Raw genomic sequence first — 26,062 nt, 5'->3', positions numbered from 1 at the left:
TAGACCCACCACCATGGATGACACCCTGGATGTGCAGCCCCAGCCCATTTATTCATTCTTCTTAATCCTGATGCTTCCCTGTAGGCTGGAACAGGTTCCAAATGCAAGCAAGGAGCCTTCTCAGATTTACTTAGGATGAAAACAGAGGCTGATTCCAGAAAGGGGCATTCCTAACACTGCTCTTACCAAGGAGAGGGGAGTTCTGTTTAATTGGCAGCAGTCTCCTTCACTGGAAAGCCCTAAGTGAATGGGATAACTGCTAAAGAAAGCAGCAACCTGGGACTTCCACCCAACCTCCTCCCTGCCCCCAAGTCCCAGAAGAGTGGTTCCCAGCACCACCCACATGCAGGGCAAAGGAGAGAGTGGGGAGCTTTTAGGGATATAGATTTCGAGACCCCATGTGAGTCAGAGCATGGGAAGTGGTATTTAAGAGGCTCCAAATGTGGCTTGGATGTCCAAACAGGTTTCTGAACCTCTCTTGGAGCCACATTTCCCAAGCTGTGTTCCATTGATCTGGGAGCTACTGGGCCCTATGATGTTAAACAGACGTCTTGATTGCAAGACCTCTCCCTTCTCTTCATCAGCTCATACACCTTAAGAGCCTCCAAGATGGGGGGAACAGCAGTTGGAGAGGAATATATTATAACATACCTTCTAATTATATTTTCTAAATATATTGCCCATAGAATCTCTCTCTTTCTCTCTCTCTGTCTCTCTTTGGTGGAGCATTTCTCAAGACTATGCAGCACATGCACAAGACTCCACACAGCCCACTTTTTGGGGAAAGCCACTCTAGAAGCTCAGGAAAAGGGTGATTTCCATCGCCCACTGAGGTCCATGCTGCAGGAATGGGGCCAAGGCAGGGCGGGTCACCTTGCACCAGCCAACCAGGGATCGCCATGTAGTCAAGGAGACCTCAGGTGAAGGGCAGCAGCCTCAGTGTGTGGAACATGGCTGGTGAGTGTTCTCTTGCACAGCTGAGGCTTCCTGGGCAGTTTCTAGTTATCTGAAGAGGACGATCACCCTCTCCCTGGGACACTGCTTTCCACTGGAGCAAACTGATGGGCCTGGCTATTTCACTGTGATGTGTGGGCCCCAAAGTGAAGGGCTGGAGTCTTATTTACAGGGTTGTAGAACGAACCAAAAAACACCTCCCATCCCTTCATGCTTGCTTAGGTTGCTTCAGTGACACCTAACATGGGTCCTTGTAACAGTCACAGAACATCTGCATACTGTTGGTGCAGCTAGGGCCCAAAGAAGTAAAAAAGGAAGCACATTACAGCTGCATCCCTCGCAGGAACCAACCTGCTCAGGAGGACGATGGCGAAGCCCACAAAAGGCAGCAGCTACAGGGAGCCTCTTGTTTCTATGTTCAAAGCGGTGAATGTCAACCAGTGCAGAAGTTACTGCAGGTCAGAGTGTGGCTGCCAGTGATGACATGCTAAACTTGGCCAAGCCCCCTTTCGTGTGCATGAGGTAGGGCTGGAGAGAGCAGTGCAGAGTGCTCCAGAGACTGGTAGAGCTGGGGACTGGGTGTGGATTGATCCCTCACTGGGGTTCAGAACTGTGTGGCACAGCACCCGGCAAATCAGCTGTGAATGGCATACATTCAGGTTACAGTTGATGCCAAGATGGAGCTTTAAGCTTGGAAAAGTGTAACTTTTGGGGAAGGAAGGAAAGATTGTGGAAAGAATGAAAAAGGAGGAGGAGAGAGAAAAGAAAAGAAAACATATTATGCTTTCTGTGCTGGATGCATACATTTTCTCATTTAACCTTCAGCACACCCAGTGAGGTGAGTATTGTTATTACCCCTAGGACAGGCATGATGTAAATGGGAAGGACAGTGGTCAAGACACTTGCCCACTCCACATAGCAACGATTCTCACTCCTGCCTGCAGGTGTGCTCGGTGGAGCGGGAAGAGGGCAGGTTGGAGGCGACAGAGGAGAGATGCTGGCTGATAGTCCTAGGGAAAGAGGATGGTTCCTGGGGTCACAGGACTAGAAGCAGAAAGAACAAGCGGGTGGAGTATCAGTTTCTACAGGGTTGAAGACAGCACTTCTTTAGCATCTAGGCTGCGGCTTCTAGACAACATTTTGTGTTTTCTCTGGATTCTTCTCCCTGGGAACACACGCTTTGTAAGTTACACTCTTATTTATGTTTGTCTTATTTCTGTTTATTTACCTATTCCCTTGGAGCTACCAGGAAGGGCTGTGGCCTGTGGCCGCTTTTCTTCTGAGTGGCACCAGCAGTTGGAAGCAGTGGGAGTGAGGAGGGAGGAGGCTGGAAGGCCGGCTGATGCCCAGGAGCATCTTCAAAGCCTCGTGGGAATTTGGCCCACCCACCGCTGCCCTTCCACAAATGGAATCTTTTCATTTTACCAGCCGGCCCAGAGCCCTTTCTGCAGATCCAGTTGAGCTCTGTAATCTCCATGAGACCACATGCTTCTTCTGAGACCTATTCCTTTGCCAAATGGGCACAGGATCCTGTGGCCAGAGGGAAAATTGGAAATGTGTGGGCCAGGCAGATACCCATTTCTGATGAGACTAGCAGCTTGAACAGCCTGAATAAGACTTTCAAAATCAGGCAAGGAAACTTCTGCACCGCCATCCCACCGTTCCTATTCTGTGACCTCAGGCCTGGATGTTGCCCGACAGCCCACCCACCACAGCACATTCCACCTGAAGCCACGGGGACGTGGGATCTTAGCTTCCCCTGGCTGCCTGGGAAAACCTGCTTTCGTGTCATACCTGGGCATTTCCACTTTCTCAGGGGCAGGAGGCTGCCATGGTGGCAATGTTGATGGGCAGCCTCTTCCTCCCTCTCTTCTCGCTCCCCTGTGTGAAGGATCTGGGCCTGCGTCTCACTGCCCTCCAGGAAGGCAGGCAGGAAAATAAAGGTGAGTGCAGCCCTGAGAAGAAGTGAGGCAGCCAGTAATGAAAAGGAAAATCAGTTCTCCTTCATGTTCCCCTTGGGTTTCCTTTCATGGCGTTACTGAAATCAGGGTCAAGAGGCCATCTGGTTCCTAACCCAGAACAACCCACTCCAGAAGACTGTAGGGACCCGCGAGGGTGACCACGTGCTCTCCCTTGGTGACCCCCACTGGCATTGTTGAGTCACTCTTTCCAACAGCCACCAAGCAGGCTCCCTTCTATCCTCTGCAGAGGTGAACCCCTGCTGGGCAGGGCCCCTCTACACTCAAGCCTGGCTAATAAAGGACTCCTAAACCCAGTGTGTGTGTGTGTGTGTGTGTGTGTGTGTGTGTGTGTGTGTGTGTGTTTTAACAGCTTTATTGAGATATAATTCACATACCATACAATACACCCATTTAAAGTGTACATTCAATGGCTTTTAGTATATTCACAGAATTGTGCAACTACCACTACTAATTCCAAACATTTTTATCACTCCAAAAAGAATTTCCTCAGTCATCCTTCCCCCAATCCTCCCAATTCCCAAGCCCTAGGCAATCACTAATCTACTTTCTGTCTCTGCAGTTATCAATTATGAGTATTTCACGTAAATGGAATCATACAATATGTGTCCTTCAGAAGGCTGGCTTCTTTTACTTAGCCTAATATCTTCAAGCTTTACCCATGTTGTAGCACATAGCAGTTCTTCATTCCTTTTTATGACTGAATAATATTCCAGTGTGTGGTTCTACCAGTCAATTTATCCATTCATCATGGACATTTGGATTGTGTTGACTTTTTGGCTATTATGAATAATTTTTTATGAACAGTCACGTACAAGTTTTTGTGTGGACATATGTTTTCATTTCTCTTGAGTGTATATCTAGGAGTGGAATTTCAGGGTCATTGTTCACCCTGTTTAATTTCTGAGGAACCGTCAGCCTGTTTTTCAAAATATGTTCCCAGTAGCAACGTATGGGGGTTCCAATTTCTTCACAGCCTCAATAACACTTGTTTATTATCTTTTTCTGATTATAGTTATCCTAATGGGTGTGATGTGGTATCTCATTGTGTTTTTGATTTGCATTTTCTTGACGGCTTGAATCTTTGTTTTTCAGAACTTTAAACCTTTCATCTTTCAACCCAGTCTCCAGTTCTCTGCTCATTTTGTCAGTCTGAAAGAGGTAGAAACTCTTCCCTGGGCCATGACAACATTAGCTCCCTGAGCACCCTGAGAAATCTGGGGTCTGTTTTGGCATTTTTTGAGATTTCTCACCGATAAAACCTTGTCAATTGCTATTCTTTGAAATTCTCTGAACTCTTTGAAATTTTCATATATCTATTTACAAAAGGGATTTTTCAATAAATTAATGGCATGAAAAGGGGGTACTGTTCTAAATTTAAAAAGGCATTAGAGACACAAACTAATGTAATGTGTACACTGTAGTTATATCATGATTTCAGCAAACTGACAGTGAAAAGACATTTTGGGGGCAATCTAAGAAAAGGCAGAAATATTAGATGACACTAAAGAACTGTCGCTAATTATGTTGGGTATGATGGTGTTGCAATTATATAAGAAAATCTCCATATTTTAAGAGATATCTACTGATATCCCTGAAGTAGAGATAAAATGACATGTCTGAAGTTTGTTGTAAACTACATCAGCAAAGGAAAAAGATGAAGTATAGATGGTACAGTTTGAACAACGGGATATGGAGGTTCACTCTACTTTTCTATTTCATATATGCTTGAAATTTGTCATAATAATAATAACTATGGAGACAATCCTAAAATATTAACGTAAGTTGAAAAACTATAAAATACCTGGGTCCCAGACTACAGAATGTCATTCATTTACGTTCAGTTAAAATATTTTTAGGTTTGTACTTAAAAAGTAACAAAACTGATTCAAACATATCTTATATATTGTATTTTAACTTAAAAGATTGTTCGTGGCTGGGCACAGTGGCTCATGCCTGTAATTGAAGCACTTTGGGAGGCCAAGGCAGGCAGATCATTTGAGGTCAGGAGTTTGAAACCAGCCTGGCCAACATGGTGAAACCACGTTTCTACTAAAAATACAAAAAAATTAGCTGGGCATGGTGGTGCATGCCCCTAATCCCAGCTACTGGGGAGGCTGAGGCAGGAGAATCACTTGAACCCGGTAGACAGAGGTTGCAGTGAGCTGAGATTGCACCACTGCACTCCAGCCTGGACGACAGAGTCTGAATCCATCTCAAAAAAAGAAAAAAGATTAGTCAATGTTTTGATGTTAAGACTTTTTTTCTTTCAGTGTGGGTCCTTCTGATTGGCATTTGTGTTTTGTTTTTGTTTGATAAACTACAGATACACTGTCTTATTTATAATTTTTTTGTTTTGGCTTCTTCAAAGGGAAATAAGAAGATATAGACACTATAGGACTGAGTGTAGAATCTTTCTGCGTTTTTCATTATTTTTCATCAAACACCGTCACTTACTTCAAACATCAAAACTGACTGCAAATATTTTTAGAAATTTACCTTTGTTTGCCCTTAATTTAGTTTTCTTTTTATATAACCAACAGATCTCTTTTTGCACTTGTATTTCATTGGTTTATTTGATACTCAAGTAAATTACATGGTTACAATTAAAGGACTGTTGCCATAAACAGGCTTGGGGACAAGTGCAGCTGCCCCCTGGTAAGCATATAGCTTGTATAGCTCAGCTGGTGGGAGTTAAAGCACAGGGTGTGGGCTTCATGTTGAGAGTCATTGGCCAGCACATTTTACAGGGAGATGAAAAATACTATGGTTTGAATGTATATGTCCCTCCAAAATTTATGTGTTAGAACTTAGCCCCCCAAATTAAGATAGTATTAAAAAGTTGCACCTTTGGCAGAGCGCTCACAGATGGGATTAGAACCCTTATAAAAGAGCTTGAGGGAGAGAGAACACCCCTTTTGTCCCTCTGCCATGTGAAGACACAGCAACCAGGAGCCACCCTGGAAGCAGAGAACAATATCTCAACAAACACCAAATCTGCTGGCACCATAGTCTTGAGCTTCCCAGCCTTCAGACTGTGGGAAATAAATTTCTATTATTTATAAATCACCCAGTCTAAGGTATTTTGTTACAGCTGCAAGAATGGACAAAGACAGAATATAGTAGGCTAAAAGGAGATCCACTTAAAAAGCTTCTTCTCTGCTTGGAACAGTGTTAGTTGACTAAATTTTTCATCATCCATCAAGTTATTTGAGTGACAGGTAGCTGGCCAACAAGTTCTTTGATTGAAGCTGCCGTCTTCAACATGGTGCTGCAGACAGTGGTTCATTCTACCCACGGGACTGTGGTCAGGACCCAGGAGGTACCAAACCTGGGAAAAGGGAGCTGGGAGATGAGTTAAGGAGGGTGAGTTACTTAATCAAGTAATGTCGGCTGTTGCTCTTTCCAGAGATTAAAGTTGTTCAAATGGTTCCCACAGCAAATTTATGCAGAGAATGGGGGCCAGCAGCTAAAACCCAAGCCTTCTGGACTCCACTGCAGCCTTTTCTTCAAACTCAGCTGGTCTCCCTGGGGTGAGGCTCGGGGTGGATGAGTGTTTGCTTCCCTCTTCCAGGCGGTTTGGCAGCCATCTCCTTGCAGAACATGATGTGCTCTTGTGGGAGCAAAAGAGGGGATGATTATGAATCACAGAGTATCAGAGTTGGAAGGGGCCTTAGTGACCTTTACTCCCACTGTCCCATTTTACAGATGAAGAGATTGTGGTCCAGATAAGAGGTTATGGCTTTTCACCAACTTGACCACCACACTGTTTATGTTCAGGAAACATAGATATGCTATTATGTATTAATTCCAAACTTCTGCTCCCAGTTTTCTGAAGCTCAGAGGGACACCTTGTATTGCTGGATGATAAAAACAGGAGCAAAGTGATGAAGTGCTGACAAGGCAACAATAGAACATGAGAGATTCACTGCTGTGTAGGAAGAGATCTTCGGTGACCATGTAGCCTGAAGCTCTCATTTTGTCATCGAGGGACACCAAAACTCAGAACAGGTTAGTGACTGAATTATCTAATGCATGAGCTAGGTAGGACAAGCATATGAATTTTAAAATGCTGGAAAATCATCAGTTGAAATACATTGCACCTGGGCTGCTAAGAGCCCCAGATTGGCTGGGTTCGTTTTATCTCATCCATCTCCTCACCAGTGCCTAGTACAGATACATAGTAGGTTCTTGATAAATGTTCTTTAAATAAATTATGAAGATCATCATTCAAGTTAACATAGCATAAGGCAAAATACATATTCCATAAGGAGATTAAAGGTAGTCAAGACCACAGTTGGTTGAAAGGGTAGGAAAGGCTTTAGGGTGGGCTTGAAAATGAGCGGGATTTTGAGGGTTGAGTTAGGGGAGTGGTAGATGGGAACATCATGTTCTCGTACAGGGAACAGTGAGCATGATAAGGAGGTAGAGGGCAGGTGACCCTGGAGTTTGGGGAACTTTGGGACATCTGATTGGCCACAGCATAGCATTGGAGCAGGGCAGTAGGGGTGGTGGGCTTGTCACTGAGGGCCCAGAACTCTCTGTCCTTAATTCTTCAGGAGGTTCTGGAGAGGTTTATAGTTTTGAGGAGGAGAAGGACATACATGACCCATTCTTGGCAACAAGACATTGCAGGATGCTGATATTCAGTTCGGACACAGGAATTTTCCCCACTTCATCCAAATGCCCTGGCTCTGGCTCTGTGAAGAGGTCAGAAAAACACTGGGGACTGTCTTTCTTCAGAAATACTTTTGGACCATCGAAGTTTTCAAGGAGATAAACATCCTTATGACGTTTCTGGTGGTCCAGGCCCATCTGGCCGAGGAAGTACAAAGATACATGAAGTTTAGGCACACTGGAGGGGAATGTTTGCTAAACATTCTTCATTCTTCAGAAAGGTTCAGGCTCAGTTCAACTTTGGGGGTGAGGCTTGAACTAATGTTGATTTTATCAGCACCTGTTTGCTCCAAGACTGCAGAAGAAAGATTGTTTGTATTCCTTCTTACGGTGCTGCTGGAGGAAACAACAATGACCATTTATTGGGTGTGTCCTATTACGTCCTCTGTTAGGCAGTTATGTATACTTTTTTTTTTTTTTTTAATTGAGACAGAGTCTTGCTCTGTTGCCCAGGCTAGAGTGCAGTGGCGCAATCTAGGCTTACTGCAACCTCTGCTTCCCGGGTTTAAGCGATTCTCCCGCCTCAGCCTCCCGAGTAGCTGGGATTACAGGTACCCGCCATCATGCCCGGCTAATTTTTGTATTTTTGTAGAGACCAGGTTTCACCACGTTGCCCAGGCTGGTCTTGAACTCCTGACCTCAGGTGATCCGCCCGCCTGGGCTTCCCAAACAGTTATGTATACTTTCACTAGTCTTTTCACAATTTTGAGAGGTAGTTTTAGAGGTGTGTGGTACCTGTTGTTTTCGTCTGTCCAGCAAGCTTTTCCGTTCCCCTGATATTTGTGGCCATGTGACCTGGGGCTGGCCAATCATAATCACTCATCCCCTGGCCACAGTGATTGGACCAGGGAGTGGGCACGGGACCCAATCTACACCAATCCCTCTCCTTTCCTGAGACTGATCCCTTGATGCAGGGAGAGAGAAGTACTTTCTGCCTGGGTCGCTACACTGAGGTTGCCCCGATTGCATGACAGTTGTACTGCAGCTCAGTCCTGCTTCCTTTATTTTCTTAGAGGTGTTGTTCCTGAGCACTGGCTTCAAAAACCTTGCTGCTCATTTATCTTGTCTCACGGTGGTCTCCCAGGGAACCAACCGAAGAGGAGGAGGAGGAGAATAGTGGTGGGGGTGGGTTGTTGACGTCTGACTTCAGAGAATTTTTCTTTCATCACACAATAAAATTAATAAAATAAAAAGACAAGGATTCGGGATGCCCTCGGAGTTCATCCATCATATTTTCAAAAGGAAATTTCAAGCCAGCAATCTTCCCATCAGCTTCAAGGAGTATTTTCTAGAATAGTTGAAGGGTGGTTTTGCCTAAAACCTGGGGGTTGGCATAGGTGGCCTTTCAAGGAGGCTTCTAGCTTCAAGTTTCTGTCAATTATGCTTTGCATATCTAAGAGCTGTTTGGGCTGGAGAATTTCAAAGAAATTTTCAATGTGCCAGGGTTGAGATTCAGCGTCTTTTTGCTGAGCGGGCATTGATGAGAAATGCCTCTGAACTCGCAGGGGTGATGCAGCCCCCTGGCCAGCCTGCCAACTCTACATACTCTCATTGCTCCAGCGCTGACACGCTTGCTCTTTTTAGGTCTAATATGGGCAAATCTATAGCAAGCATTCCAAAAGCTAAGACACTTTTAACTCTCTCCAGAGCAGCCAGAGATCCTCATAGCAAAGCCAGGTAACCCCAGGGGCCAGGGGCACCTTACACACTATCCCTGAGGGGCCGAGCTGGCTGAAATCAGCCTGCACCCTGCTTGCCAGCCGTGCGCGGGGACACTGTGTCCACTTGGAAGACTGAATGCCTTTCTCCAATTTCACACTGACTACTTCCTCCCTGCCAAAAGCACACCTTCCCTCCATCTGAAGATATAAAAGGAGCTTGGGGCCCCAGCATGAACAATTGCCAGGGCCTGGGACACACCTGTCATGGGCAGGTTTGTCCAGAGTTCACAGAGCATAAAGACTTAATCTGCTTTCACATTAAATAGGCTGATCGGATACGACAACAATTTCCCACTGTTCTTTGAATGGCAAACAGGATTTAGAGCACAAGGGAAGGAACTTTTTTGTATATATAACTTTTCATGCAGAAAGTTCACAGAGTTTACCTGTAATCTTAGCTCACAATCAGGCAAAAGGATTACAGCTGGGCATGTAGAGCTTATCAAAAAGCTCAGAGGGAGACCAAAGGAGGGCAAATGCAATTTTTTCTTTCCTTTCTTTTATGCCCATGTCAAAATGCACGCGTTGGTCAACATCTTGAAAACTCTCCAGCGGAGGTAACTCTACCTTCCTGTACCTTCATGCCCGGCTTCTTCTACCATCCTGTACCACCTTCCTGTACTACAACTATTAGGTAGGTGCAAAAGTAATTGCAGTTTTTGTCTTTAAAAAAAAAAAAAAGGCAAACACCGTAATTACATTTGCACCAACCTAGTACTTGAGGATGATGATAGAACACTGCCAGAGGAGTACTGCAGCCCCAGCCTCATGGCCAGAGCACCTTGGTCACTCCGAAGGGGCAAGTAGGCCTTATGTAAGGAGCAGGGCAGGCCACTTCTGGTGAATTGCATACCTTGCAGTGAGACATGGGCTGAGGGTCCCGGGATTGGTGAGAAAGGTTAGCATGTTTGTGCCCCAAATCTTCAGTCTGAGGAGGACGGGAAGAACCTCTCTAGAAACACTAAAGTCAATGGGAAATGAACTTGGGCTTGAGTTATTTTCTGATCAATTTGATTTAAATATAATGTTAATAAAAAGAATACATAAAACTAATAGCCTGAATGACAGACCCAGTGGATATGACTTGCTTGGGGAATTCGAGTGACTCTGGCTTTGAGTTTAATATGGCTTTTATTGAAGAAATTTTTCTTTAATGGTAAAGAAAAGAAGTAAATCACTAACACCTTAGCAAGAGTGAGTTTGTCATCTGGAATCAGGGGAACAAGAGGAGAGAGCTGGGAGTTGTGTGGGAGTTAGGATGAGGGTAGACAGGAATCTGGAAGTGAAGGGGAAAGGCCTAATAAGGGAGTTTGTTCCCATCCTGCAAGCTCGACTTTTTCATGAACTTTTTCAGAGTTAAAAGAGCACACTATATTCAGTCCTAGCCTCTGTTTTGTAGCCGAAGTGTTGGGAAATGTGCATTTCCTTGTTTCTGCACAATAGGGGTGCCTCAGACCTCCAGACATAAACAATGTATCCCGCAGGCCAATGCTTCTGAGTCAGGTTTGGGCTACAGGATCCCACCAGAATCAAGGAACAGCCAGCCTTACTGAAAACTAAGCCACCCTGAGCAAATCCATTTTGAATTCCAAAGTTAATGTGAAGCACCTATGAAAATAAACATAGGCAGAAGCAACTGTTAGAGGGAACACCGTTGCTCTATTTGTTCTGTGGGGGCTAGATACCTAGAGGAAGCTCTCCTCCTACAAACAGAATAGACTATAGGATCTGGAGAAAAGAGGAAACAAATCAGCCAGAGAGTATGTAGCTCTAGATTAGTTGGGCTTCTTGTGTTCCTAAATGTTTTTCTTCACAAAAGCCCCTTGATCATGTGGCAGTCCATCTACCCGTCCATTTGCCCATCAATCTATGCATCCACTCATCCTTCCATCTATTCACTCATCATCCATTCATCCACACATCTATTCATCCACCCATCTCTCCACTTATCATCCAATTATTCATTCATCCATCCATCCACTCATCTATTCATCTATGATCCACTCACTCATGTATCTATTCATCCACTCATCTATCAACCCATCATCCATTCATCCACCCATACATTCACTTATTCATCCAACTGTCTGCCCATTATCTACCCACCCATCCCCCCTACCTATCCCCCTACTCATCTACCTCTCCATCCATCCCCCAAACACTACTTGATACCCATTACATGTGCCAAGCTAAGGACAGCTGGTCAAACATACTTATCTACTCACTGGGTGGGCAGGAAGTAGGGTGTTCTCTTTGGTAAAGGAAATGGCTGACAGACATAATAAGGCTCAGTAAGATGCAGTAGAGCATAGAGATAAAAAACACAGGCTTCATCATTAGTCCATCACTTTCTAGCTATGCAGGAAAGTTACCTAACTTCTCAGCACCTCAGTTCTGAGGTGAAGGAATAATAGTTCCTGCTTTACAGGGTCGTGGTAGGAATTAGATGATTCAATGAAAGCTAAGTGCTTAGCACAGTGCCTAGCACATATGATGTGCTCAATAAATTTTAGCTTGTGTTATTAAAAGTAGAACGTCTGGAGAACCAGAGTGAATTATGTAATCTAAAGAGGCAGCGGGAAAGGGGTTTCTTAACCCATTTCCCATTTGCCCCGGAACACTTGCTGCTGCAGAGTTTACCCCAAGATAACTCACAGATTACAGTCCTAATCTTACCACCAAAGTTTGCCACAGAATATTTCGCTTTTATTATTATTTTTGCATCGCTGTGGTATATTGACTTTGGAAAAAAATACATCATTCCATTTATAGCATTCTGTTTTTAGTAGTGGTGTTTCCGTTTATAAAATATAGTCATTCTTGATCACGGAAAATGTCAAATCCTAGAAAATGTAGCATTCCTATGCATAATGTTAATTCTGTGGTGAGCTTATGGCACTGAAATGGTGTGACAAGAAGGAGGTGACAATGTTGTCAACATTCCACAATGATACTGTGATTGAAGTAAACAACAGAAATGGAAAGAAGACTAAGAAGCCATGTGTCATTTTGGATTATCACGAGAATGTGGGAACAGTGGACTGGCTGATCAGATGCTCACTTCCTATCCAACTGAGCACAAAAGGCACAAGGTTTCGTCTAAGAAATTCTTTTTTGTTTATTTATTTACTTATTTTGAGATGGGGTCTCACTTTGTCGCCCAGGCGGGAGTGCAATGGCGCGATCTTGGCTCATCGCAACCTCCACCTCCTGGGTTTAAGTGGTTCTGCTGCCTCAGCCTCCTGGGTAGCTGGAATTACAGGCATGTGCCACCATGCCCAGCTAATTTTTGTATTTTTAGTAGAGATGTGGTTTCTCCACATTCGTCAGGCTGGTCTCTAACTCCTGACCTCAGGTGATCCACCTGCCTTGGCCTCCCAAAGTGCTGGGATTACAGGTGTAAGCCATGATGCCTGGCCTTAATTATATGTATACTTTTTTATTTTTGAGATGGAGTCTCGCTCTGTCGCCCAGGCTGGAGTGCAGTGGTGCAATCTCGGCTCACTGCAACCTCTGCCTCCCGGGTTCAAGCAATTCTCCTGCCTCAGCCTCCCGAATAGCTGGGACCACAGGTGTGCGCCACCACACCCAGCCAATTTTTGTGTTTTCAGTAGAGACAGGTTTTACCATGTTGGTCAGGCTGGTCTCGATCTCCTGACCTCAGGTGATCCACCCACCTAGGCCTCCCAAAGTGCTGGGATTACAGGCATAAGCCATCTGCCCAGCTGGTCTAAGAAATTCTTTTGTCACCCTCTAAACATTGCAGTGCTAAGCTCCTACATCCTGTTCTGGAAGGACAATCCTGAGCACACGATGAGCCATATAAACTTCAGACTGACGCTGAGTGAAAGAATGCTGGAAAAGCATCACAGGCCAGGGCAGCAAAGTCTTCAAGGTCATCCGTGCTCTGATGATGTCACGCTTCTTCCCTGTCTGGAAGACATTTCCCCAAGAGCATACCACCAACATCAGGGAAATGGAATCCAACTGGTCGCTGCAAAGTTTGCTGAGCACACAGTGATAAAGATGGCAAGAAGGTCCTGAGAGAAACGCAATATTTTTGTGCAGAATGGGATGTTCTGCCTTTGTCCCATGCTTTGAAATTTACCACATGAAAAATAAAATTAAATACTGATCATCATATACGTTTCTGTTATATTAGGATTAGAGACAAGTTCTGTTTAGAAATAACTCCAAGAACAGTTTTTATATTTTGTTTTCACATTGAAAAATCAGTCAGATTTGCTTTAGCTTCAAGGAACGTGTTTATGTAAAATTAAATGAGCGCTGGCAGTGAGCTAGCTGCAGATTTTTTTTTTCTAAATGGGATATAGGACAGAAAGATGCGTTCGCGGCCATGACCAGGCTCTGGGTACTTTACAAATGCCCAGTGGCTGGGCATGGAAGGAATACATTGCTGGGGGAAGTTAAAACCTAGGGCTTTCTCGCCTGTTGTCTTCCTGTTCCCGTAAGTCCAGCAATGGCTCAAACCAATAGTGTAGCCAAAAAACAAAAGGCCCTGATAAGGAAAGCCAGGGGTTGGGGGACACCTCAGAAAAACAGAGCAGGGGAGGTCAGAAGACCTTGGAGGCAGAAATTCTGTAGGATACTGACAAGAGGCCAAACTGGCAGCCAAGAGAGGTAGCTGAGGCTCTGAGAGACAAGGCAGATGGAGCCCCTGAGCCTGGGGGTCCCTGGCTCTTCTCTATTAAATATTCCTCCAAGAAAGCAACTGATAAAGGGAGGTCAGGAGTGGCCACAGAAAAGACAAAGGCTGGGCCTAAGACTGAAGTTCCTACAGGCAACATGGTGACTTCTGCCAACCCACTGGAATGTCTGGAAGAAATAAAGGCCCTAGTCAGGAATCAGGCATCTGATTGGAGATATGATCTGATATGCAGAAGCCAGAAGATACTGTCCCTGGCAGGGGAGAGTGGTGACCGCCCAATAGACGTCCCACACACTTCTTTTGGCCAACTGGTAAGGGAGAATGCTGTGGTTAACAGGAGGATCTCACCAACCCTGGGAGAGGGTCTGGGAAGCATGAACAGAACAGGTGGAGGTGAGTGGGTCCCACCAAAGATGGGCAGCAAAGGCCCTGGGGCTACCTCAGTGGGATCTGCCATTAAACATCTGTGGGACTCTTTCTGTATATCTTGAAGGTGGAAGCTAAGTCTCTGAACACCCACTGCGGACAGCAGTGAGAACCACCACCTGGGGTGAGCTACCTTCATCTCTAGTGGTGGCATAAAGTCTGAGGAAGATTGGAGACCCAGAAAGAAGGAAAGAGAAATTGGAGAAGAATTCCTCCTTCTGGTCCTAAAACTCTGAACTGGGAGAGAGACAGGCTATGGGAGAAGATTGAGATGGATTAGAGAATTCCTCTTAAGGACCTCTTCCCTAGCCCCAACCCCAAACATGGAAAGAAAGGAAGATCCTGAGTTCCTTCAAGGGAAATTCTAGGCACCTAGCTAGTTCTGAGAAGTAAATAAGCAACTTGAAAAGCAAGAAGGTAACAGTAGCTTAAAACAATAGCCAGGGAAGCTAGAATCACAGAATGTTTCGTTCCCCTACAAAAACTAAAGATAACATCTTACCATGTCTCTGAGTTGCTTCTCAGAAACTGGGACCCCCCACCACATGGATCTTCTTGCATGTAGACCTCAGATAAGGGGGAATTGGGGACTGAACTCAGCACTGTTCTTTGTTCTAAATTTCTTTCTGAGAGGCCTGGAGGAAGTCATAACCAACCAGAGTAACATTCTTTTGCACTGACCCCAAATTTTTAAACAAAACTTCTCTTCTTTAACCAATTACAGAAAATCTTTGAATCTAACTATGACCTGTGAGCCCCCTGCTTCAACATATCCCACCCTTTTCGGCCAAAATCAATATGCGGGTGTTCAGAGACTTAGCTAAATCAGTATTGATTTGTGGTTTTGTCTGTAACTTCTGCTTTCCTGAAATTTATGCCTGCCTTTAAAAATCTTTACCTACAAGCCATATGGGGAAGGCTGGGACTTAAGCATTAGCTGCTCGATCCTCCTTGCCTGGCACCCTGCAAATAAATACCTTCCTTTTTCCTGCTATGAACCTTGGTGTGGGTATCTGGTCTTACTGTGCTGAGCCAATGGACCCCAGTTTGGTTCTATAACAAGATAATGGTTATTTTCACACTTACACAGTAGAGAGCCTCACTGCCTTAGGAGCAGATACTCCTGAGGCAAGGCAGATCCCAAAGATGCTAGGATGAACTAGCTGAGTTTGTCTAGGATATGCCACATACATGGCACCCAGAGAATCCTACCTTGTCCTATAAGATGCATAAAGATGGGCTCAAATACCAATTCAAAGACCTGTGGACAAGAAAAATCACCCCTACAATATCCACAAATTCTAAAAAGACTTGCTTGTTGTCAGCCTTGGCTTTTGAGTTCCTGCTTCCACTGAATTAGTTCAGTTTCTGACTCAGCTCTTCAGTCTGTAGATGTTGTCTTTGTTTTACATCAAAGTGACCCACATGTGGGACTTGGCCTATACACTTGACTTCCACTAAAAAAGCCACTCGTACTCAATGTGAATGCCTGTAAAGCAGACTGTCCTGAAGGGGTTAGGAAGCTGTGGAGATAGTTACATCAGAACAGAGCAAATGACTTTGGAATCTGAAGCAGACCTCCTTGTTCTTAGCAGTTTTTTGGCCTCTCAACCACGTGGCTTGCCATCTTTCTTCTTTCTCCATCACCCTCCCAATAAATCTTTTCTGTTCAAGTTCCATTGAATTCTAATTCAGAAAAGTTTAATTATCTTCTAATGAGCTTGTCTTCAGCTAAGTCATGATTCAGGGTCTCACCTTCTAACCCCAGATGTTTATCAGGGTCTTTTCTTTAACAAAGACAGTCCTCTCTGAGAAGAGGGTTATAATTTTTTTCACTCCATTAAGCCTGAATGAAGGTTGACTACAGAAGAGAAAGGATGCTGCTTTTCTTTGCTGACCTGGGAGAAGATAGACTTTTTTAGCCCCTGTGAAATCTGTGAAGGTGGTTCAAGAAGCAAAGATTGAAGGATGAGGTCTTCACCCTTCCTCTACCTGGAGAAGTTTTCCTTGTGCTGGTGAGAGAAGACATGTGCTTACTTTATCTTCTCCAAAGAGCAGGGAATGACTTTGAACTTGAGGTGGGTGCTTTTTCCAGAGCAGATGTTAATCAAAGCAGCCAACCCTAGTTCTGGAAGTCATCCTTGACAAGGCATTTCTTTTAGTAAAATTCAAACAAAATTTAAACCTTCACTAAGAAAAGGAAACGGAGTGGTTCAGAGTTATTGCTATGACTAGTGTCTTGCTAAGCTACCCTAGAAAAAGGGAAATGGACCACCTGTCCCCTCCATTCTTTGCCCACTCTAGGAAATACACAAAAGAATAGAAAGGACTTAACAGTTGTTTACTGGCCAGTCTCTGTACTGAATACTTTGGATATATGATCAATCTAATCTTCCGAGAGAAGAATCTTCAAAATTTCTCCAAGACATTTGTCCCCATTATATGTGTGAAAGGAAAATAAAAACTCAGGATCTCAATTCACTATGCCAAAGGAAAAAAAATTAAGCTAAAAGCTGAGTCATGCAAGAAGCTGCCTTTCTTTTTGTTTCTGAGCAGATAGCTGCAGATAAGAGGTTAAATATCTCCACAGGCAGTTAGTCTATGTTCACTTTATCTTATGAAAAGTGCCAATTTACTGAGCACAAGATGAATACATAATTGACTATTCCTCTACCTGCTCCTTTTCTCTTGCAATATAGGGATTACCATACCCTTCCTCTTTCCCCTCCAGTCCACTTTTTCCCTTTAAATATTGATGTCCTCAAAATCACCTTTGGAGAAAGGCACAGACCACAGACTATTTCTGTGGCTCTGTCTTTATTTATTCTGGGCATGTCCTTAACCTTGACAAAATAAACTTCTAAATTGATTGAGACCTGTCTCAGATATTTTTTGGCTTACAAATTGGCGGCTGACGGAAGGGACTCTGAGAGGAGGTGCCCCTGACCTTTGACAAATCTCTTACCAGTACTTGGTTCCAGCCTAGGTTATCTTTGTTGCTCAAAGATAAGACAATTTTCTGAGGTCTGGGAGCAACTCCCTCTGGAGAATCCCTGATCACCCCAAATTTGGTTGAGATCTAAGGTTTATTTTGAAGTACAACTCCTTTTCTGGAGTTTTACTCACTTCCAACAAAAAAGGCGAGTTTTCCTGTTTCCATGACAATGGATGGCAGGCAACTCCTTTCTGGAGTTTCAGCTTGTATCCAACAGGGAAGGTGAGTTTGAGTATTTTACTGCTTCTAAAATGGTAGAGAGGAGTATTGAGCCTGGGCGCCACTCCTAGGTAAGTAGCTGAATTGGAGTTTTGTCTTGAAAATCCTGCTTAATGACTAAGAGTTAAGATTGACAACCAGCTGATCTTAATTTCCTTTTAACACTAAAGTGCTCAGTAATCGCATTGGTTTTGTTGTTGTTGTTGTTGTTTTGTTGTTTCCTTATTATTTTAGTCTTTCTCACATTGGATTCGACCAACTCTACCTTATTTGGTCAAATCCAAATGAGAATTTCAAGTTATGGTGAACAATGTTTTTGAATTGGCTAAAACTCCTCACAGCTGCAAAAAAGAAGAAAGAATCATACGCTTGGTTTCGTTAGCAGCAGCAAATCTATATGAGTATGCAGCAACTTGATTCTTGCCTCCTCAGAGGAAAGAATTCGTCTGAGGGGCATAAGGCAGAATGAGAGACCACGGCAAGTTATAAAGCAAGAGTGAAAGTTTATTAAAAAGTATTAGAGCAGGAATGAAAGGAAGTAAAGTACGCTTGGAAGAGGGCCAAGAGGACAACTTGAGAGATCCAAATGTAAACTTGGGTTTTTTTATGTTGGCATGCTTCCGGGCTCTTGTGTCTCTTCTGCCCTGATTCTTCCTTTGGGATGGGACGTCCACATGTGCAGCGGCCTCCCAGAACTTGGGAGGGGCCCCAGCCACAGTGTGTTTGCTGAATTTTTGCGCATGCTCACTTGAGGCGTTGTTCTCTTACCAGTAGAGTGTTCCTAGAGGAAGGTCATATCCCAGCTAAACTGCCATTTTGCCTCTTAGCATGCGCATGCTTGACTCCACTCACCCAGCTCCTGAGATCTTATTGACAGCAGCTGATCACCAGCTTCAGGTGTTTTCTATCTATTGGGAGACCACCTTTCCCTGCTGCTGGCTTTGACCAATTGTTTTGGACAGACAGTTTAATAACTGCCTGACCATCACTTGACAGTCTCCTGGCAGTCCTGGTTGAGGGGTAGGGCACTGCCCTGCCTTGCTTATGTCTGCCTAACTACCTACTCAAACAGGTTCTCTGTTCACTTCCTTTCTTAAAAGATTGTTCTTTTGTTTACTTTTCTTCCATTCTATTCCTCCTTCCCCTTTTGCCATCTTTGGTACCAAGCAAATTCAAAACAAAACATAGAGAAGGCTTCTAATCAGACCCTTTAAAGAACTCAGAATAAAGGTGCCACTCACCCTTTTTCGGGGTGTCCTGCTTTCTTTGTGGAGTTTCAAAAGTCACGGGCAGATTTTTCTCAGGTCTAAAGCTCTGCTTTCTTGTATTGCATTACCTGATGTCTTTGTCTTTGGTGGGGGTACCAGAGATTACCTTGTACTGTGAGAGAATTTGGCCTTGGTGTGTGTAGTGGTGGCAGAGAACCACAATCTTAGGGATGGCTAAGGACAGTTTATAGGAAATGGTCATTACTACAGGGGGCTACTTATTTCTTTGTACATTTAAATTAAGAAAATTGTACAGGCTTTCTTGGCCCTATTCCTTAAAGGGATCTACCATAAAGCTAGTAATCTAATCAAGCTAAATTGAAAATAACACCTATCAAACTGAGTCACTTTAATAAAATTCTTTGCAAAGGAAATTTACATCTTTACAGGAAATCTCCACTTAGTAAGAGCTTCTGGGTCCCTACAATGGCTTGAAGTTCACATAAAAGACATTGCCTTTGTTTAGATCTAAGCGTGTGCCTTTGAGATGTACATTTTCTACACTGTTTCACCTAAGTCATGTCTTTGGGATGCAAATTTACAGTTGCCTCATTAACAATTGTTCAGGACATGGAACAGATAATCATGAGATTAACAGTCTAAAATAGAGAAAAGTTTTGAAAACAGGCAAATGAGAACTTTTAAATCTGTAAGATCTGCCTCTGTCTGGGTGTCTATTATGTCTATATGTTCCTATGTCTCATGTGGAAATAATATTTCACTATCAATTATGTGAAAGAGCTCTAATTAATTGGCTTAAAGAAAAGTCAGTGTTCATCAACTTAATAGAAGCTAGCTCAGAGGCTTTTCAGTTCACATGACTTTAGTAATCTTTGGTAAGATTAATTTGGTAAATTTTGTCTCAAAATCCTCTCCAATAATTTAAAATCTTAAAGGCATGTTAAGTTAAATTAAGTAATCCTAGGTTTTTTACTGGGAATTAGAGTTACTAAAAGTTAGATTAGTAGGATAGTATGATGTGTTTTTGGGGAAGTTTATAAAAACATGAGGATGTGGTTTTTGCTTAAGAAAATGTAAATTTTTTTCTAGTTCAGAGGACCTTTCTACTGATGTTGAGAGAAAAACCATGTTCGCATCCAACTGTTTTTTGGTAAACTGGTTAAGTTTGTATTGGTATCTCATGGCTAGAGTTCTGAAGTAAAAGCTATAGGATCTTTATTTGTATGAGTGTGTGTGGGCTTAGGTGTGTTTATGTATACCTACATGTGTATTGTTATGTTTATGGCCACAAGGTACCAAACTGGCTTAAAAATAAAGGAGAACTCACAAATTCAGTAAATAAGCCCAGTTGCTTTTCAAGTTAATGTGACTTAAGTAGAGTTTTAATAAATAAACTGGCTTTAAAATTATTGGTAAAATAAAATTAGAAATGTGTTCAGAATCGCCAACATACATTATTGTTTAGATTTATTGGTCAAGCAATTTTATATTTTTTTCTCTTAAATACTATAAGGTGTCAAGATTTGGCATGAGGGTTGTAAAGCTATAAATGTAGCCCAAAAGAGAATTATATTTGTGTAACTTTTCGATAAATAAAGCATTTAATATTGTTGGTTTAATGAAAATAGCTAAATCCTGAGTTATTGACCAAAAAAAACCCAAAACATTTATTTAACCTTAATATTCTTACTTAAGTAAACACCTGAAATTCACAGCCTATAAAAATTGTTAACAGGGAAATAACTCTAAATGATGACCATCACAGTTTTCATATGTAATCTAGATCAACTATTTAAACAAATTAAATAGGCAAATGTAATAGAATAAATGCTTGTAAATAAACTTGTCATATAATTTAGAACCTAAAGTTAAATTAAATAATATATATTAATTAAATACCTGGGTCATTTCCAATTTTTTAAATAAAAATTATAGAAAATCATTTTTCTAAAAAACAATGTGTTCTTATTAAAAGGAAACAATTTTTGTCTAACTCAAAAGTTATTTAAAGGTTGTTTATAAAACAAGCTAAAGGGAACCAGTAAATAAGAGAGATGTAAAGAAAGTTATACATATAAAGAGGTATTTGGGGTAAGAAAGATTAAAAGGAAAATCATTTTATATGAGAAAGGATCTTGTATGGTAAATTTTTTGACCTAAAATAAAATAACTGGTTATTTAAGAAAGAGTGATATTTAGGATAAGACAGGACATCTAAGCATGTCATAAATGTTTGTGCAAGTTGGAATAAGGGTTGTGAAAAGAGAATTTATTAAAAAGAACTTTATGTGATCAAATTGGCTATAATTAAAAGGAAATTATAATATTCTTTGGTATTTAACAATACACTAACAAATTAAAGAGTTGGTTGGAACAACAAATTTATCTGAAGGTATTGATTTAATCTTAATAAAATTATAAGAGCTTTTAACTTTTTTAACCCAAAAGTTCAACTTTTATTGCATGTCATTATTTTCAGTTTTCTCTTCCCTTTGAGAAGGCCTGAGACAATAATGTTCTCCTTCAACTTTTTCGTCAGCTCTTGTAATTTTTTTCCTCAGGTTCTAACTTCCATTGTGTCCTGATACTAAAAATGTTTTATCTAAATGGTCTAAAGGAAATATTTTCTTCCAATATAACATTCTGTGCTCTTGGCTTTAAATTCTTCTATGAAATTGAAAACTTTCACTTATGACCCAGGACCTACTCTTCCTATGTCTAACTAATGCAAGTCCTAGGAAAACCAAGATTTAAAAACATTAAGGTTATTATATCCATGTAACTCTCTGTGTTGCTTTTGAAGTCCTGTGCTGTTAAGTTACAGGGCTTTTACTTTTGGATCTAGAGAGGACTCCAGATCCTGTTAAATCTTAAACACTGACAGCAGTTAAAGCCTTATTTGCCAACCCAGGAGAAGACGACTATCAAAATAAACTGTTCATGAGACACAGAGCCAGAAATTAAAACTATTTAACCCTTCTAGGCCCTGGGACTACCACAGAAGAGACAGGCACATGAGATTGTAGGGCTGATTTTGAGAAATAAAATTAGTTTAAAGTTTCTCTATGAATTAAACATTAATATCAACGTTACATGGATGCAAGGCCAGCATCTGGGCCCCTGTGTCAGATTAACAAGATTTTCTTGGAGTATTAACTAACACTTTAATTTAAAAAATTGTAAAATATTATAAAAAAGTTTATAGAAATTATATGTTATAGTCAAGTGATTAAAATTTAATAGATTTGTTTATAAGATTTGTGAGACATTTAATTGGCCTCATGCTGTCTTTGTCAGGGCTTATTGTTTGGGGAAGTAAGTCTCCTCTCTCAAAGAATAAAGGTTTTTGCCTTTTTTTGAAATCTTCGAGTTATCACTTTGGCTAAATGAATGACTGTCTTTATAATGACCTGCGATCCTATTTTGTGATATCAAGTGTTTTAAACTTTAGATATTTGACAAACTTTCCAAAATCATATTCTAAATTCAGTCCTTTTGACCTCATTAATGTTTTGATATTAGGTCTCATGAAGTCCAAAAGAAATGTATTTGGTTTATTTGGTACAATAAAATAATAAAGGAAGCATTGTCAAATACAAAATGGTATTTAATCTTCTTTGGATAATATTTACATAAATGTGCTATTAGTGTTTGTTCCAAAATTATATGAGAATCCTGTGATTCTGATATGTCTTAGTATATGTTATCAGTAGTAGTAATTATGACGATTATGTAAAACTTTGTATGCCACAGAAGTAAACAATTTTTTTGTCAATTGTGTCTTTAACCATGACTGGTCTAAGATCTTTGTCATCTGTGATTTACTTTGATCCTTTTTTTTTTTTTTTTTTTTTCCCGAGACGGAGTTCACTCTTGTTGCCCAGGCTGGAGTGCAATGGCACGATCTCGGCTCACCGCAACCTCCGCCTCCCGGGTTCAAGTGCTTCTCCTGCCTCAGCCTCCCGAGTAGCTGGGATTACAGGCATGCACCACCATGCCTGGCTAATTTTGTATTTTTAGTAGAGACAGGGTTTCTCCATATTGGTCAGGCTGGTCTCGAACTCCCAACCTCAGGTGATCCACCCGCCTCGGCCTCCCGAAGTGCTGGGATTACAGGTGTGAGCCACCACGCCTGGCCTACTTTGATCCTTTTATAGGGCCGTTTATAATCAGCTATAGAACTCTGAGGAGTACTCTTAAATATAGGTTTCTGGTAAATTGAGAGATTGTGCCATTGGAATAGAGAAAAACTTCCAGGACTCTCAGGGAGGTCTGATGTATTCATGAGGATTGTTGATCCAATATCGAGCAGAACAGGAGTTAATTGAATGGACTGAACTAACTGAAGATTGAAATAATCTTTTATGACTTTTTGTTTAAAACATTTGCTGATTCTTTTTGTTTTGTTCTTCAAAGTCAAGAAAACTTTCTCTTCTTTTAAGCTATTTGCAGCTTTTAACAACTGAGTAAAGTATGCTCTTATGAGCAAAATTAAAAACATATCCTTTCCCTCAACCTAATTTCTCCAAAATTTGGAAACTATTTTTTGAGTATTCTTAATTTATGACAAAATAATTATTTGCATAAGTTCAATAAGGATCTGTTTTCTTTTATAAGAGGGCATAATTGGAGACACTGGTTGTTTTACCAAGGCCTTGACTGAAATGGCATTTTCAGATTGCCTTGAGAAAGGGAGGCTGACCTACAGAGCTGATAAAAGCCCCTTGAAAAACTGGCTTTATACATTGTTCTTTACAGGGTCCTGACCTGTGTTAAGTGAAGAATGTCACTTTCTGGCAGGCCTAGGAACCCCAAGTTTTCTTGGCACCTTAAAAAGAGAGAAATTCACCCAATTCACACAGGTATCTGCAGGCTGGGCTCAAGGCTTTTAAGAAGGTCTAATCTTAGACTCCTTATGAAAAAGGTTACAGCAAAGCCAATTTAAAAAAAAGAGAGACAGCCTATATGACAAGTGATTATTCTTGCTGCAATTTATGCAAATAATTAAGGCAAGTATAATAGAACTAAAACTTATTTTACAAATAAATTGGTCCTACTACGATTTTGTCTTTAATAAAATTGGGGAATTGGAGAGAGAAAAGTTATGTTTCCAAATAAACTGTGTACACCTGTTATTAGATTCTAACCTTGCCTAAGGCTTTTTAATTTTTATTGTTTTCTACAATTTGGACTGAATTCTAAAATTTTTTCTGGCTACAAGTCTCCAAAATAATGTTTTCAATTTGTTTCCTTCTTTTCCTTTTTTCCCCATTTTTCCTGATTTGAAAATCACGAAAAACTAAACTGTGCTTTTTTAAATGCCATACAAACTGAAGCTAGACAACTTAAACTTTGGAAGAAAATAATAGCATCCTGTTTATATAGATAAAACACTTTCATACCTGCCTACTGATGTATGGACTTCAGAGTAATATGGCCTATATCAGGTTTCCAGGATTGTTCTCCTTTTTTGTTTGTTTGTTGTTTTCTTTCTCTCTTCCCTCTCCTATGTTTTTTTTTTCCTTTGTGGGATGTAAGGCTTCACAACTTACTAAAGGTGAGCTTGCCTAACAACTTGGGACCTATCCGTCTAGGAATAAACTGTCCTTGCCATCAGACATCAGATAAAACCCAATACCAGAGACTCACTTTCTTCTAAAATGCTTTCTCTGAAAGCTTTTAAAAAGAAAAGGGTGGAGAAATGTGAAAGGAAAATAAAAATTCGAGACCTCAATTCAGTATGCCAAAGGAAAAAAATTAAGCTGAAAGCTGAGTTATGCAAGAAGCTGACTTTCCTTTTGTTCCTAAGCAGATATCTACAGATAAGAGGTTAAATATCTCCACAGAGTTATTCTATGTTAGCCTTGTCTTATGCAAAGTGCCAATTTACTGAGCACAAAACAAATACATAATTGACTATTCCCCTATCTGTTCCTTTTCTCTTGAATTACCATACCCTCCCTTGGATTACCATACCCTCCCTCTTTCCCCTCCAGCCCACTTTTCCCCTTTAAATATTGAAGCCCTCAAAATCATCTTTGGAGAAAGGCACAGGCCTTTCTCCTCTTTCTGTGACTCTGTCTTTATTTCTTCTGCAAATGTCCTTAACCTTGACAAAATAAATTGATTGAGATCTGTCTCACTTTTTTGTTTACATAAGGATAAAGAAACTGGGACTTGGAGAGGCAAATGGACATTTGCAAAATCTTAAAGCCAGTGAAAGGTAGAGGCTGACTTAAAGTCAGTTCACCCTACTCCAAATCCCAGTGGTTTTCTACTGTTATGCAAATCCCCTCCTCTCACATGGCCCCAGCATTCCATAGTGGCTGCATGTACAAGTGAGACTAGCAGAGGAAAATGCCACAGGACTGAAGGATGCAGAAAGGAACAATGACACTGAGATCTGGGGAGGGGCTCTGTAACTACAGTCTTTGTGTCTTTAGGTCTTAGTTTTCCTTTGGTTCTTGGGAAAGCACCTTTGGAAAAACTCTAATCTGTCTCAGCTGAACAATGGGCAAAGATACTTTGTTCCTGTCTTGTCCTGCCCCTGTTCCTTTTCCTTTAACATCCCATAAAGTCACAAGTGGGAGCAGAGCTGGAAGAACTCAGGGAATGATGGCCCTCACCCTAAGTACACCTTCAAGCCAGGCACTATGCTAGAATTTATAACCTCATTTACTCCTCCTAGCAACATTCTGAGGTATTGTTGATTGGCCTTATTTTCTAGGTAAAGAGGTTAAGAAAAATGAACAACTCAATGATTAAACATATAGCTAGTCTATACTCTCTCTTATCTCTGAACACTTTTCATCTGGAGCTATTAATGCCCTCTAGCCTTTATTATAATTATCACATATAATTATGCCTTTTCTCCTCAAAATTATCTGTTGGAGTCATCTTATAGTAGAGTCTTTACAGAACACAAAGCATTCAATCACTTTATTTCAGACACCAACCTTGTTTTTGATGAACATATGTTAGTCTTAAGCCATCTAAAGTAATGCTAATGTGGGATCTTATGGAAGACTACTGGTAATACAGGAAAAAAAGTGGCAAAGAAATCTGACACGTTTGGCAATTATTCCTGAGGCTCTGACCTCTCAATTGTTGAGTGTTGGAGGTCACAGTAAACAAACCATATAAAGATCATGTTGAAAGTCAACATTATTAATATACCATACTTGAAGGATATG

At 41.5% G+C, this 26,062-nt stretch overlaps 1 long non-coding RNA gene and 1 pseudogene across 7 annotated transcripts in view, besides 2 other annotated features; both read left to right on the top strand.

Annotated features, from left to right (window-relative positions):
• SLC44A3-AS1 (SLC44A3 antisense RNA 1) overlaps positions 1–26,062 on the top strand; it is a 203,881-nt gene that overhangs the window by 133,864 nt on the left and 43,955 nt on the right. For 4 of the 7 annotated variants that reach the window (NR_160784.1, NR_160781.1, NR_160783.1 and 1 more), the window contains 2 exons: positions 6,762–6,944; positions 13,098–13,472. This is a non-coding gene — a long non-coding RNA (SLC44A3 antisense RNA 1). Of the gene's footprint in view, positions 1–6,761; positions 6,945–13,097; positions 13,473–26,062 lie in introns of those variants that run through there. The other 3 variants (NR_160780.1, NR_160779.1, NR_104131.2) reach the window with 1 other exon arrangement.
• PGBD4P7 (piggyBac transposable element derived 4 pseudogene 7) lies at positions 12,208–13,530 on the top strand (annotated as a pseudogene).
• Positions 17,433–18,190: an enhancer, noted in NCBI's record as "NANOG-H3K27ac-H3K4me1 hESC enhancer chr1:95133735-95134492 (GRCh37/hg19 assembly coordinates)". NCBI's record gives its function as "activates a minimal SCP1, AML or CMV promoter by ChIP-STARR-seq in naive H9 embryonic stem cells {active_cell/tissue: H9 hESC(naive)}" and the evidence as "EXISTENCE:reporter gene assay evidence [ECO:0000049][PMID:30033119]".
• Positions 24,261–25,066: an enhancer, noted in NCBI's record as "OCT4-NANOG-H3K27ac hESC enhancer chr1:95126859-95127664 (GRCh37/hg19 assembly coordinates)". NCBI's record gives its function as "activates a minimal SCP1, AML or CMV promoter by ChIP-STARR-seq in primed H9 embryonic stem cells {active_cell/tissue: H9 hESC(primed)}" and the evidence as "EXISTENCE:reporter gene assay evidence [ECO:0000049][PMID:30033119]".

The sequence above is a fragment of the Homo sapiens genome, chromosome 1 (genome assembly GCF_000001405.40).
Source record: "Homo sapiens chromosome 1, GRCh38.p14 Primary Assembly".
In the NCBI taxonomy this organism is placed as follows: Eukaryota; Metazoa; Chordata; class Mammalia; order Primates; family Hominidae; genus Homo; species Homo sapiens.
The sequence above is the reverse complement of the archived record's forward strand: the minus strand, read 5'-3'. Positions and strand labels throughout refer to the sequence as shown.